The following is a 16,226-nucleotide window of genomic DNA, read 5'->3' on the forward strand; positions in this document are numbered from 1 at the left end:
GGCAAAGTTTGAGGATTCAGAGAACAAAAGCAGCCAAGTCCCATTTTCATGAATTTTTCCAGCTTGAATATCCTTGATCATGCCCTTTGGCTACAAAATTTGATACATCCATCCCCTTCTCACTTTCTTTCTTGTTTTTGAGTTGTAATGTTGTTGTTTTGTTTGACTTGTGTTAATTTTCAGGTCCACCTAAGTAGATACCATCTAATATTCATTGAGGAATGTATCACAGAAATATCATTTCTTGTCTCAGGAGACTTCATTTTTTGGACAAAATTTAAATTAATTCATTTGTGCTTTTTTTGTGGTGACGGACATGATAGGGAGACTTGTGTGTTGAGGAGTAAAGACATAACTATTTTTCTTCCATATATGGATGATCACCAGGTTTATAAACCCTGATGTTTATATAGAAATCCATGGTTTCCAACCGCTTTCATATATATCATATATATTCTTATTTGATCCCCATTCTGGTCTCTCTTCCTATTTGATGTCTTACTCTTTTTTCTTTCTTTGTTAGGAAAGGAGGGAAAAAACGTAGCAGAACATAGATTGAATAACATAAAAATGCTTTATAGTTTCTTTGACAGAAATTCTCCCAGACATAGGGACAGTAGATTTACTTCACAAGACCCTGTTGCAACACAGCATCAAAGACTTTAATAACTCACACACACACACATACACACACAAAGAAAAAAAATAATGTGACTCAGCTGCTTGCTGGTTATCAGAGGAATATATCAAGAGTTGATGCGATGAATATACTTTGCACTATCTTTCAAGAAGTCTTCAATAAAGTATGTTTATCTCTATGTGCAAAATTTCCTGTGTATAAGCATGTCTGTAGATAACGTATCCTACTTAGGTCATATGCTTCAAGACAGCAAATGACCCTTAAACTTACACAGTTTAGATAGAAGGGCTTTAGAATTTAGCATATGGCTTTGTTTTTTCTTCATCCTGTTTTTAAAATAGAGTCATGATTATGGTGATAACTTTTGTAGATAATTCTGGTCCCTACAATGAAGAACTGAAACAAGGATCAATATACCACTTTTAGTGATCAGAAAACTAGTTGATGATTTGCTTATGATTATATATAGTTTAAGGTAAAAGAACAAAAACAAAGATTTCGAGGGCATACTGATTTGGTGAGCTTTTAATCTTTAGAATGAAGGTGGGGTTGGGAAGACGTGCTACATTTAAAGATCAAGAGCAGGGCATAATGAAACATGGATTGGGTGCACAGAGTGGAAAGGGAGCTCTGGTTGGGTTATTCAGATTAAGTCATTAAAACTTTCTACCTCTTGCTTTCCTTGTGTATAAAATGAAGATAATTTTAAATCTAAAATGTCTTAACATCTCTTATTTGTCTTACTGCTAAGATGCAGGTACACAGAAGACCAATCTAACACTCGAAAGAAAGGATGAGGGCAACTTAATCCCTAAGCAAAAACCTTCACAAGAAGAGAGCTCAGCAGGTGTATGCTTTAGGTGCCAGATGTGGTTTGGCCGTGTTCTCATTCAAATCTCAACTTGAATTGTATCTCCCAGAATTTCCACGTGTTGTGTGTCGGACCCAGGAGGAGCTAATTAAATCACGGGGCCGCACTTTCCCCTGCTGTTCTCGTGATAGTGAATAAGTCTCACGAGATCTGATGCGTTTATCGGGGGTTTCCGCTTTTGCTTCGTCTCTCATTTTCTCTTGCTGCCGCGATGTACGAAGTTCCTTTTGCCTGCCGCGATGATTTTGAGGCCTCCCCAGCCATGTGAAACTGTAAGTCCAATTAAACCCGTTTTTCTTCCCAGTCTCGGGTATGTCTTTATCAGCAGCATGAAAACGGACTAATACAGTAAGTTGGTACCAGTAGAGTGGGGTGTTCCTGAAAAGATACCTGAAAATGTGGAAGCGACTTTGGAACTGGGTAATAGGCAGAGGTGGGAACAGTTTGGAGGGGTCAGAAGAAGACAGGAAAATGTGGGAAAGTTTGGAACTTCCTAGAGACTTGTTTAACAGCTTTGCCCAAAACGCTGATAGTGATATGGACGATAAAGTCCAGGCTGAGGTTGTTTTGAAATGTGAGGACGTGAGATCTGGAGGGGTCAGGGGCAGTGCCCTTGGAAATAACTTGCTTTGTCGTGCCGTATTGTATCTCTATAGAAAAATTAAATGAAAATAGATTTATGTCTGCATTATTGTAATTCCAGCACATTTTCTTATGCTATATTATCATTAAGAAATGCAAGCTCTTACTTTGATATGGAAAGCTTTAAAAATATTACAGGAAAGTGTCTTAAAAAAGAAACTTTATACATATACATGACTATATATAATGGTACATATTACTCTGTTGTATTATCACAATGAACCAGATAATTGTATTATCACAACGAGCCTGTTTTTCTACTTGTTATTTTGGATTTTATTTTGGAACAAAACCTCAGGTACTGAAAAAATTGGAACATAAAATGTGGAAGTTCGTGAAATTTGCACGACATACTAATCTATAGCAATACTGTTTTAAAAATATGGAGTGACTTAAAAAGTTTTATATTGTTGGCAATGTGAAATAATAAATGTTTTCATTTTTGTTTTCTCCTAAAACACTGTCTGTGGCCAGGGTTTCTGCTACAAAGCAATCTGACACATAGATGTGGTTCAATCCTGAGGCTTTTGTTCTTAAATTGAGAGATATTGTTACATATGCAGGATTATGGTACCGTGTTGTTCTTCTCTTGTAAAAAATACATTTGAAGACTGTTTGTGCAATATGGCCAGTAGCCTATTTGCAGAGGTGAGTGGTTGGGCTGCAAACATAAAGATTATATCTGTGTGTGTGAGGAATTATTTGGTCAGAACATTGGAAAAATACCTGAAAATGCAAGTGCACATAATTTTAAATCAAGATGCATTTAACACAAAGGAAAAATTTTAAATATTATATGCATTTATGCATGAATTTAGTTTTGGGGACAATCTAGTAATAATGGTAGAAATAGCTTGACTCATCAAGATGCTTTCTCAAGTTTAAGTTTTTAAACGTTTAAAAAATCTCTCAATAAACAGTATAAAAATTGGTGTCAAAAACATGAGTGTGTGTGTGTGTCTGTGTGTTTGTGTATGCTCACACACATTACTTTGAAGGATAATTTGAATAAGACCTTTTGATTTCAAAAGGAAGAAGTTGGGCAGAAATATTTTCAGACATATGGGCCTTGGTTTAGTGGTTAGGTAAGTGGTGTAGTGGCCATGACTGGTGGTTTTACCTTGTTCTCCAAAGCATCTCTTCTCAGTGGTGAGTGTTAATAACTATTTTAATAATTTTTATGTGATTTCTGAGCAAAGTCCCTCCTAATTTATGTGTTATTTTAAATTTTGCATGGAAAAAGTTGATGCAGTTGTCTTCATCAATCTTAAACAGTTGAAGAGGTTGTAAACCATTGAAAGAGTTCTAGTTTCTTAAAAGTAAGTACGTGCTGTCAGAATACTTGTCTATCCTATCAGTCATAAATATTAAATTTGTAACAGACTTACAAAGGAACCTCATCTTGCTGATAAAATATTTACAAGGAAAAATACACATTGTACAGTATTTAGTATATATGTAATATAGGAAGAGAGGAGTGCTGGAAAATATGTAGACTATAGAAAATAAGATTACGGAAATATATATTATATTATTATATATATAAAATATTCAACGTATAATATTTTGTATATAAACATGTATAATGTTCTTGTAAAGTAGCTATCCAGTATCATGGGAAGGTTGGATGCCTGGGGAGATTTCTTAGTAAGAAAAAATGACCTCAGGAAATAAAAAAATGAGGCAGCCATGGGCTGAAGTTATATCTGAAGGTATATATTGAGAGGTATCATTTGGTCTGTCAATATTGTTGTTTCAAAAGCCCTAAAGAACTGAGATTAACAGTGGCACTGTATCTGCACATGAACTAAAAAATATGGCTATTTTTCAAACTAAATAATCTACCTGCAACAAAAGAGAAAATAGATTTAAATGTGGATCATCATACTTCCTTTTTTCTCCACCAAAGTTAATGTTCACACAGCAAAAGAGGAGTACAACTTGCAAGAATAATCTCCAAATGATTCAAGCAAATAAACGAATGGACACAACTCTTGTTTAGTAGATATAGCAATGACAAATAAGGAAGATATATCTGAGAGCATTGGTTCTAAGATTTTATGTTGTATAGATTTCTCTTACTTTGGCTAATTTTGTCCAGGATTTAATCCATACAACATAGTGTGCATATAAATAACATTATTACATTTTAAGTTTCTAACAATTTCTAGTAGAATTCTGACCACAAAAATCTAATCGATAAAGTGGAATCAGTAGTCTCCAAGACTGAAAGTGGTCGCATAAAATGCATCAATTCTTGGTTTTTGTTAACAACTATACAAGCATCTAAATTTTCTGTTAAGCAAAATGGAATCATATTTAATGTATGCACTTTTTCTCCTTTTATGCAACAGATATTAATAAATACGTGACCCTTGCATATTTTTGTATCAAAATTTTATCATTGAGAGATATTGCTTTACAGAAATTATCAGAAAAATGTACGTTAAAAGCATTATTTCTTATGAGTCAAATTCGTGAAAAAATTTCTAAGTCAGACAGTTTTTAGGGAGTATATGGAGCAAAGGGAATTCTCATGCACCTTATGTAGAGAGATAAATTGGTAACCTTTGGAGTAAAATTTGACTATCTTAGGCAAAGCTGAAGACATATGCATCCCATGTCCCAACTTATTCCACTTGTGAGCTCTAAAGAGAAATATTTACACAATAAAGAAGGGTGTATATATGAGCTTTATTTTAATGGTAAATATTGGAAACATCAAGATATATGTATGCATATATACACACATGTGCACACACACGCACACAATGGAATACTATTCAGCAGTGAAGATAAATAAGCTACAGCTACATGGATTAACATTGATGAAACTTGCAAGCATAATTTTGAATGAGAGAAAAAAGCTGTAGATGAATATAGGTTTTTAATGTCATTAATATAAGTTAAAATATAAAAAAATACATTTTTAGTGATAACATTGTTATTCTGTAAATGTAAATAAATGCACACGAATGAGAAACCATAATTTCATAAGAACAATTACCTCTGGGATGGAGGAGTTGGGTGGGGAAATGGTATCCACAAACTTTCAAAGATTTTGGTTGTGTTTCATGGCTTAAACAAAGGGGTCAGGACACAAGGATTTGCTACTTTGTAAAAATATGTTTTTATACATTCTAAATATTAATACAATTATTTTAAAATTTCAAAAGAAGTATTGTGTAGAAGCCTGCAGTCAATGTGTGCAGATTCTTTATTATTCCTTGGAGGTTAGTGACTACATTAAATTCCTAGGTATTTAATAGTTCACGAAAACGGGAAAGGGGGAACAGTTAGATAGAGGGTTACCTTAAATTGTTGATAGTGGTTTTTTTCCAGGAAAGTCAGAGGTTTATAATAATGTAAAGTGATTTTCATGTTTTGTTCTGTATAACTGAGTTATGTGATTCTTTTATGATAATACACTTGTGTATTACATAAATAAACAACAAAAGTATAAAAGAGAGGATAAAGTATTCTTACCATGTCTAGAATACATTTGTTTTTCTATAGATTACCTTGGGTAGTATGGCCATTTTCACGATATTGATTCTTCCTATCCATGGGCATGGAATGTTCTTCCATTTGTTTGTGTCCTCTTTTATTTCGTTGAGCAGTGGTTTGTAGTTCTCCTTGAAGAGGTCCTTCACATCTCTTGTAAGTTGGATTCCTAGGTATTTTATTCTCTTTGAAGCAATTGTGAATGGGAAGTCATGCATGATTTGGCTCTCTGTTTGTCTGTTGTTGGTGTATAAGAATGCTTGTGATTTTTGCACATTGATTTTGTATCCTGAGACTTTGCTGAAGTTGCTTATCAGCTTAAGGAGATTTTGGGCTGAGACGATGGGGTTTTCTAAATATACAGTCACGTCATCTGCAAACAGGGACAATTTGACTTCCTCTTTTCTTAATTGAATACCCTTTATTTCTTTCTCCTGCCTGATTACCCTGGCTAGAACTTCTAACACTATGTTGAATAGGAGCGGTGAGAGAGGGCATCCCTATCTTGTGCCGGTTTTCAAAGGGAATATTTCCAGTTTTTGCCCATTCAGTATGATATTGGCTTTGGGTTTGTCATAAATAGCTCTTACTATTTTGAGATATGTCCCATCAATACCTAATTTATTGAGAGTTTTTATGAAGGGCTGTTGAATTTTGTCAAAGGCCTTTCTGCATCTATTGAGATAATCATGTGGTTTTTGTCTTTGATTCTGTTTATATGCTGGATTACGTTTATTGATTTGCGTATGTTGAACCAGCCTTGCATCCCAGGGATGAAGCCCACTTGGTCATGGTGGATAAGTTTTTTGATGTGCTGTTGGATTCGGTTTGCCAGTATTTTTTTGAGGATTTTTGCATGAATGTTCATCAGGGATATTGGTCTAAAATTCTCTTTTTTTGTTGTGTCTCTGTCACGCTTTGGTATCAGGATGATGCTGGCCTCATAAAATGAGTTAGGGAGGATTCCCTCTTTTTCTATTGATTGGAATAGTTTCAGAAGGAATGGTACCAGCTCCTCCTTGTACCTCTGGTAGAATTCGGCCGTGAATCCGTCTGGTCCTGGACTTTTTTTGGTTGGTAGGCTCTTAATGATTGCCTAAATTTCAGAGCCTGTTATTGGTCTATTCAGGGATTCAACGTCTTCCTTGTTTAGTCTTGGGAGGGTGTATGTGTCCAGGAATTTATCCATTTCTTTTAGATTTTCTAGTTTATTTGCGTAGAGATGTTTATAGTATTTTCTGATGGTAGTTTGTATTACTATGGGATCTGTGGTGATATCCCCTTTATCATTTTTTATTGCATCTGTTTGATTCTTCTCTCTTTTCTTCTTTATGAGTCTTGCTAGCGGTCTATCAATTTTGTTGATATTTTCCAAAAACCAGCTCCTGGATTCATTGATTTTTTGAAGGTTTTTTTGTGTCTCTATCTCCTTCAGTTCTGCTCTGATCGTAGTTATTTCTTGCCTTCTGCTAGCTTTTGAATGTGTTTGCTCTTGCTTCTCTAGTTCTTTTAATTGTGATGTTAGGGTGTCAATTTTAGATCTTTCCTGTTTTCTCTTGTGGGCATGCATTTAGTGCTGTAAATTTCCCTCTACACACTGCTTTAAATGTGTCCCAGAGATTCTATTATGTTGTGTCTTTGTTCTCATTGGTTTCAAAGAACATCTTTATTTCTGCCTTCATTTCATTATGTACCCAGTAGTCATTCAGGAGCAGGTTGTTCAGTTTCCATATAGTTGAGCGGTTTTGAGTGAGTTTCTTAATCCTGAATTCTAGTTTGATTGCACTGTGGTCTGAGAGACAGTTTGTTATGATTTCTGTTCTTTCACAATTGCTGAGGAGTGCTTTACCTTCAACTATGTGGTCAGTTTTGGAATAAGTGCGATATGGTGCTGAGAAGAATGTATAATCTGTTGATTTGGGGTGGAGAGTTCTGTAGATGTCTATTAGGTCTGCTTGGTGCAGAGCTGAGTTCAAGTGCTGCATATCCTTGTTAATTTTCTGTCTCGTTGATCTGTCTAATGTTGACAGTGGGGTGTTAAAGTCTCCCATTATTATTGTGTGGGAGTCTAAGTCTCCTTGTAGGTCTCTAGGAACTTGCTTTATGAATCTGGGTGCTCCTGTATTGGGTGCATATATATTTAGGGTAGTTAGCTCTTCTTGTTAAATTGATCCCTTTACGATTATGTAATGGCCTTCTTTGTCTCTTTTGATCTTTGTTGGTTTCAAGTCTTTTTTATCAGAGACTAGGATTGCAACCCCTGGGTTTTTTTGTTTTCCATTTTCTTGGTAGATCTTCCTCTATCCCTTTATTTTGAGCCTGTGTGTGTCTCTGCACGTGAGATGGGTCTCCTGAATACAGCACACTGATGGATCTTGATTCTTTTTGCAATTTGCCAGTCTGTGTCTTTTAACTGGGGCATTTTGCCCATTTACATTTAAGGTTAATGTAGTTATGTGTGAATTTGATCCTATCATTATGATGTTAGCTGGTTATTTTGTTCGTTCGTTGATGCAGTTTCTTCCTAGCATCGATGGTCTTTACAATTTGGCATGTTTTTGTAGTGGCTGGTACTGGTTGTTCCTTTCCATGTTTAATGCTTCCTTCAGGAGCTCTTGTAAGGCAGGCCTGGTGATGACAAAATCTCTCAGCATTTGCTTGTCTGTAAAGGATTTTATTTCTTCTTCACTTATGGAGCTTAGTTTGGCTGGATATGAAATTCTGGGTTGAAAATTCTTTTTTTTAAGAATGTTGAATATTGCCCCCCTACTCTCTTCTGGCTTCTAGGGTTTCTGCCAAGAGATCTGCTGTTAGTCTGATGGGCTTCCCTTTGTAGGTAACCGACCTTTCTCTCTGGCTGCCCTTAACATTTTTTCCATCATTTCAACCTTGGTGAATATGACGATTTTGTGTCTTGGGGTTGCTCTTCTCGAGGAGTCTTTGTGGCATTCTCTATATTTCCTAAATTTGAATGTTGGCATGCCTTGCTAGGTTGGGGAAGTTCTCCTGGATAATATCCTGAAGAGTGTTTTTGTAGCTTGGTTCCATTCTCCCCGTCACTTTCAGTTACACCAATCAAACGTAGATTTGGCCTTTTCACATAGTCCCGTATTTCTTGGAGGCTTTGTTCGTTTGTTTTTACTCTTTTTTTCTCTAAACTTCTCTTCTTACTTCATTTCATTAATTTGATCTTCAATCACTGAAACCCTTTCTTCCACTTGATCGAATCAGCTTTTGAAGCTTGTGCTTGCGTCACGTAGTTCTCGTGCCATGTTTTTCAGCTCTGTCAGGTCATTTAAGGTCTTCTGTATGCTGTTTACTCCAGTTAGCCATTCTTCTAATCTTCTTTCAAGGTTTTCAGCTTCCTTGCGATGGGTTTGAACATCCTCCTTTAGCTTGGAGAAGTTTGTTATTACTGATCTTCTGAAGCATATTTCTGTCAACTTGTGAAAGTCATTCTCCATCCAGCTTTGTTCCGTTGCTGGCGAGGAGCTGCAATCCTTTGGAGGATAAGAGGGGTTCTGGTTTTTAGAATTTTCAGCTTTTCTATTGTGGTTTCTCCCCATCTTTGTGGTTTTATCTACCTTTGGTCTTTGATGATGGTGACCTACAGATGGGGTTTTGGTGTGGATGTCCTTTTTGCTGATGTTGATGCTATTCCTTTCTGTTTGTTAGTTTTCCTTCTAACAGTCAGGACCCTTAGCTGCACGTCTGTTGGAGTTTGCTGGAGGTCCACTTCAGACCCTGTTTGCCTGGGTATCACCAGTGGAGGCTGCAGAACAGCAAATACTGCAGAACAGCAAATGTTGCTCCCTGATCCTTGCCCTGGAAGCTTTGTCTCAGAGGGGCACCTGGCTGTATGAGGTGTCAGTCAGCCCCTTCTGGGAGGTGTTTCCCAGTTAAGCTACTCGGGGGTCAGGGACCAACTTCAGGAGACAGTCTGTCCTTTCTCAGTTCTCAAACTCCGTGCTTTGAGAACCACTGGTCTCTTCAACGCTGTCACACAGGGACATTTAAGTCTGCAGAAGTTTCCGCTGCCTTTTGTTCAGCTATGCCCTGCCCTCAGAGATGGAGTCTACAGAGGCAGGCAGGCCTCATTAGCTGCGGTGGACTCCACCCAATTCGACCTTCCCGGCCACTTTGTTTACCTACTCAAGCCTCAGCAATGGCGGACACCCCTCCCTCAGCCTCACTGCCGCCTCGCAGTTAGATTTCAGACTGCTGTGCTACCAGTGACCAAGGCTCCATGGGCGTGGGACCCGCCAAGCCATGCACGGGATATAATCTCCTGGTGTGCCGTTTGCTAAGACTGTTGGAAAAGCGCAGTATTAGGGGGGGAATGTCACAATTTTCCAGGTACTGTCTGTTATGGCTTCCCTTGGCTAGGAAAGGGCATTCCCTGACTCCCTGTGCTTCCCAGGTGAGGTGATGCCCTGCCCTGCTTCAGCTCACACTCTGTGGGCTGCACCCACTGTCCAACCAGTCCAATGAACCCGGTACCTCAGTTGGAAAAGCAGAAATCACCCATCTTCTGTGTTGCTAACGCTGGGAGCTATAGACTGGAGCTGTTCCTTTTTGGCCATCTTGGAACGAAAATGGCCATTATCTTCAATTAGGGTGAGTATTACTCATAATTTTCTTCTTTCTGTCTCTATTCTGTTACTTACAGGTACTATTGAATCTTTATTCTAGGTATCTGGCTAGGTCCAACCCAATGCACAGCCCTAGCTGAGTGTCTGTTTTCTTCATCTGGACCAATGCAACCACTTTATCACTCACAAGCCAGTAGTCTTGCTCTTCTGATCCAATCTCTTCATCGCAAATCTTTCTCTAATGAGAATTTGAGTATTTAATTTCTTTACTTAAAACCCTAAAACTCTCATGATGGAACCTAACTCTTTAACATGGTTTAGAAGCCTCTCAACATTTCTTTCTCCTTCTGACTCTTCATTCCTTACTCCTCAGTTATCTGGCTAAGTCTGGGCCATCACTGAAGGCTTTGGTCATTTGCATTTTTCCGCAAGATCTGTGAGGATAGAAATTGTGCTTGTACTCTGTTCATCAGTCTATCCCAGGTGCCTGGCACTAGGTAGATGCTCAGTAAATATTTGCTAAATGAATATAAGAGTGATCTGGCACAGCTGCATTTCTAGTCATTTCTGTTGCCTGTATCCCCTCAACTTAAACTTTATGTTCCAGTTATATTGAATTTATTTTCAGTTTTCTGAAGTCATGCCCTCTCTTGTCTTTAGTCCTTTACACATGCTTTTCCCCTACCAGGAGGAACTCTGCCTACGTGCTTTTATAATATAGTTTTTTATTCCAGCACTTATCAAACTGTTTGGAAAGTTCTAATGCACAAGTCTTTATTTTCCCTGGGCATGTTCTCCATGAACATGAGAACTACATTTTTCCTTGTTTAATCTCCAGCATCTAGCAGAGTACTAATCTGTGTTATGTGCCTAATATACATTTCTGAGTGCAATAAATGAAAGAGTGAGGAAACAAATGAATACACGGAAGAAATGCATATAAGATTAAAAAATATGTTAAGGTTATCTACGATATGATGAAAATGATGATATATTTACATAGGAGAAAAGTCTGAAAAGTTTCTAAAATGTCAGCATGACCAGGTGAGTGATGAGACTGGGGTGATTTATTCTCCTACCTATATTTCTAAGTTTCTTTAATGTACATTATTAATTTTATAATATTTCAAAATATTTGGAAAACTGAAGAAAAGCACAATATAAATATAACTGGTGAATGCACCAATATCATTAAATATGTTGATGCTCTTAATGAATAGACATATTTATAATTGCCTTTACAATTTCTGTTAAATGAGAGAACATCTGGGAGTTACCTGAAAAAAAAAAAACAAAACAAAAAAACAAAAAAAAACAAGGTAGGAAATCAAACTCTGCATACGTAGATTTCAATTTTATTTTCTTTTTCTGCTAGGTATATGAGTTTGAGATTATATCTGTCCTTCACTTGTGTGAACAGGCAGAGTTAGACAACAAAAAGCCTCCTTGTCAAACAGAAAGGTATAAACACACTAGATTGCACAAGCAGAACCTGACTTCCTTTCAGGCTGATCCATGTACTTAATGAAGGACACGTGAAAACTCAGCCGGGAACTCGACAAGTCTGTACAGTTCATCCTATGTGAAACTGACTTAAATATCTTTGTACGATTCGAAGAGTTATTTGCCTGTGGGCTCTTCTAAGAACGATTTGAAAATACGAGTTATCTACTCATGTACAATCCACCAAAATCTTGACATCTTGAGATATCCCCGTTTATTCCTGTAGGGATATTCCAGAAGCCAGAATGACTTTATCTGCTTAAGAACATGGATAATATCAATGAGACAAAAAGAGCCAGATAAAGGTTTTCAGGTTTTATACAGCATGCCTCCTTCTCAAGATACTTAAATATTTTAGAAAATATGTTTATAAATATGTCAACTAGGATATGAGTTCTTATCCAATTTGATTCAAAACAGACAGATTTATATGAAATTTTCACTCTCTTGTTCTCTTAGGGTTTTATAATTCAGTGCCAATTATTGGCTGGGATCCAAATCTTTCTCTCTGCCTATATCATGTACTAGACTAGTTGGTTAAGCATATACAAACATAAAATACCCCTCTCTTTTAAAAGTGAGCATCCAGCCACACTTTTATAACTGTTACACACGTTAATAACCATTTGTTAATAAACACTAAGTGGTTTTTGACAAAAAAGCTATTTTTAACCACTTTAAATATTTTGAAATGAACTACTTCTCCAATGGAGGAATGTAGAAGTTTAAGTGAACTTAGAAAGGAATGTGGCATTTTAAACAGGTACATTCCTTCTTTCGTGATTTAGGTGGCCTTTAGATAGAATGTAGGTCACAGTAAGAAAAAACACTGCCTTTTTACTTAAACAATAATTAAGTTCTAGCCTTCCTCGTAACTTGACCTTGCACAAGTCACTTAATGCAGAGTCTGCTGTGTTCACCTTTAAGATGGGACAGTGACATCTGTTTTTCTCACTTTACAGGATGAGTGCAAGGATAAGTGAATTATTGTAGGCGAAAGTGCTTGGCAAGTAGTTAAGCCCTATAAAAATTTCAAGGCAGACATGATGTTAGCTATGTCAACAATAGCTTGTTTGGATTTCTTCAGCTGGATTTTTTGCTTTGCCAGCTTGTTTTGGCTCAGGCAATAATTAACCTAGACCTTAACGAGAGAGTTGGACTTGGAATAAAGACCACAAAACAGATAAGCAGATATGTATTCCAAGTCTTCAGTGGTCAGAAATAGCTGCCACCTGGGTAGTTCCAGGACATTTATTACCCTATCTTGGACTTGGCTGGAAATAGGTTACCTTAGATTCCCATCCACCCACTGTCTTTGTGGGGGATAGCGTGAAGAATTCTATATGTGCCTATATACTAGATACCAAGCAGCCTTATAAAAATGGCTTGGGGTTTTACATTTGACATATATGCCATATATATGTATGTCATATATATCATGTATATGATATATAGTTTGTCTCTGTTCCCACCTAAATATCATTTCAAATTGTAATCTCCACATGTCAAAAGAGGGACCTGTAATACCCACATGTGGAACTGGGGAAGTAATTGGATTATAGGGGTGGTTTTTCCCATGCTGTTCTTGTGATAGTGAGAGAATTCTCATGAGATCTGATGGTCTTATAAGTGGCAGTTTTTCCTGCACCCTCACACTCTCTTATCTCTCATCTGCCACCATGTAAGATGTGCTTTTGCTTTTCCTCTCCTTCCACCATGATTGTAAGTTTCCTGAGGCCTCTCCGGCCATACAGAGCTGTGAGTAAATTAAGCCTTCTTCCTTTACAAATTATCTAGTCTTGGGTATTTCTTTATAGCAGTGTGAGAATGAACTAACACAGCATATCTATCTATCTCCTGAACCTTACATTCCATTAGATATTGACATTCCACTAGATAAATATGATAGATGTTATACCTGTTTTATCACTAAGGAAATCCAGACAGTAGAAAAGTGACTGCTCTAAGACACCAAGTCAGTTGTTTATTTTTGTTGTAGATGATCTTGGGTAAAATGGAGGGAGGATTAGACTTCAAATGCCTAAATTAAAATAAATTTTCTTATTTCACACTGTATTACAGCTTTGTGATTTTGCAATATTTTCACACATTTTTTACTGTGCTGTCCCCTTTACCTGTCTTATCTAACTCCCTTCCTTACCAAATACCTCTTTTCCAGCAGCAGGAACATTACCTTCTCAGAGAAACATTCCCACCTGTGGTTAGGCCTCCTACCTGCACTCATCCTTCGAATGAAATAAAGCCTTGATCATATACCATTGTTTGTTGGTTTGCTTCTGACTCACCCACTGCTCTGTGAAAGCCTTGATCATTCATAGAACAAAATGCATAGTGCATAAATAAATGAAGTTTCCATGTTACGAGTAACAATGTAGATTTGGTTCTTAAGACCTAGCTATAGTTTCTGCTAAATTACCAACACTGGTTAGCTCTTCTTTTCCCAACATTTGTGGATATTCCCAAATTTTTACATACTCACTGTTGTCTTCAGTAATAATCTTAATATAAGCAGGAGGGGTTTTCAAGGAGTTTTAGCCTGATTATCTATATTTTACCTTTACCTTTGTCATTTAGACTAGCTCCCGAATTATGATTGGACAGGGTTTTTTTCTGTCTGTATTCTTGAGGTTCAATCCCCAACTTCAATATTGCACCCAGATTTTTACTTCTGTATGCCTGTGCCAGAATCTTGGTTGGCATGCCAATTTCCTCTCACCGTATTCTCTCTGATAAACTTTTTTTTTTTTTTTTTTGTTTTGAGACAGAGTCTCGTTCTGTCACCCAGGCTGGAGGGCAGTGGCGCGATCTCGGCTCACTGCCAGCTCCGCCTCCTGGGTTCATGCCATTCTCCTGCCTCAGCCTCCCGAGTAGCTGGGACTACAGGTGCCCGCCACCACGCCTGGCTAATTTTTTGTATTTTTAGTAGAGATAGGATTTCACCGTGTTAGCCAGGATGGTCTCAATCTCCTGACCTTGTGATCCACCTGCCTCGGCCTCCCAAAGTGCTGAGATTACAGATGTGAGCCACGGCGCCCAACCAAACTTTTTTTTAATATTCTAAAATTCTTCCAGGAATTTCCCCACTTTTGTATAATATTTTTTTCCTCTCACTCAAGCCTAGTGGTCATGGGCTTTGCTTTCTAAGAAAATATTTTCCTAATGCTGATTGTGTCTCTTCCTTTAGGCATTTTAAAATCTAATCTATGCGTGGATTCTCTGTCATCAATTTTATATTGACTAATTTGTATTGAACTTCTTGAATGCCTTCCCTTCTATTCCACACGTTACCTTTTTGCCTAGACTATCTTTGGTCAGTGAATGAAAATAACCACACTGATCTTTAGAGCCAAAACTCAAGATTCATCTTCCCAGGAATGTTTCACAATTCACACACTGACTTTTAAGTGTATCCTTTGTCCACAGGACTTTATTTATTCCGCCTAGATCCTTGGACTTGGCCTGGCAAGTTTAGCTTACTTCTAAATTCTCTTCACCCCAGCCATAACACATTCATATACAGCAGTACATCCACTTATGGAGCATGCATAGAACCAATAGCCTACTTATAACAATGGGAGGGAAATAATATAAAAATGTAGGAAAATTTTCTTCCAGAGAATCTCCTTCATTTTTAAGTATATCTGAGATCAAATAATTAATCCCATCAAATAGTCTCATCTGTGTGATTAGCAAAATTCATAAAAATAATACTTCATTGGACAATTTAGGTTAGTCATATGTAAATTGATCTTTCAATTATTCAAATAGTGTAAATGTACTATGAAATAATTTTTAGAGGGCAGTTTAATAGTTTGACTTACTAGATTCAGGAAAATAAATTGTTGATATGACATTAAAATACATATCTAAAATAATTATTTGGTATTAAGTGTATTCTGTACCTACATCAGTGAAGAAAGTGAATTCACATAATCTTTTCAATCACAAAGATACATTTTTACACATGTAAATACCCCTTTTGAGTCATCGTAGAGAAATAAAATGTATTTTTTGTGGTTAACTTAAATTTATATTTCTATTTTAGGAACTTGTTTAATTCTATAAACTTCTATAATTTTTCTTATCTAAGGCTAAAATGTTTTCTGGGTAGTTCACAATTCTGATATAAAAACTGGAGATTTATTCTCAACAACTATCATAATTTTTTTTTGATAATCCAATTTAATGGTATAAGTTTGGAAAGACTTATTTTATATATCATGTACTTCAAATGGTCTTTGTGGTCATCCTCTTTCACAAGAATATTTTCTATTGCCAAGAGAAATGTAATAAAAGTAAACATAATATGCAAAATAATGTGCCTGCTTTGCCACTGGATTCATGGCAAGAAGCCAGTTAGTATTTACTGTGTTTTTCTTCTTATGGGTAGATAAAATCTGAAGCCACGTAAGTAAGATAATGCAAAAATTATACGTTTATTTACTCCTAGTGT

General features: G+C 36.7%; 1 long non-coding RNA gene across 1 annotated transcript in view, besides 1 other annotated feature; it reads left to right on the plus strand.

Moving 5' to 3' along the window:
* Positions 745-1,039: a silencer, noted in NCBI's record as "tiled region #12730; HepG2 Repressive non-DNase unmatched - State 24:Quies". NCBI's record gives its function as "represses a minimal TATA promoter and a strong SV40 promoter by Sharpr-MPRA in HepG2 cells {active_cell/tissue: HepG2}" and the evidence as "EXISTENCE:reporter gene assay evidence [ECO:0000049][PMID:27701403]".
* Positions 1,699-16,226, plus strand: part of LOC105375158 (uncharacterized) — a 130,320-nt gene continuing 115,792 nt past the window's right edge. Inside the window, exon 1 of the long non-coding RNA XR_927044.3 lies at positions 1,699-1,783. This is a non-coding gene — a long non-coding RNA (uncharacterized LOC105375158). The remainder of the gene's footprint in view (positions 1,784-16,226) is intronic.

Source organism: Homo sapiens, chromosome 7 (assembly GCF_000001405.40).
Source record: "Homo sapiens chromosome 7, GRCh38.p14 Primary Assembly".
In the NCBI taxonomy this organism is placed as follows: domain Eukaryota; kingdom Metazoa; phylum Chordata; class Mammalia; order Primates; family Hominidae; genus Homo; species Homo sapiens.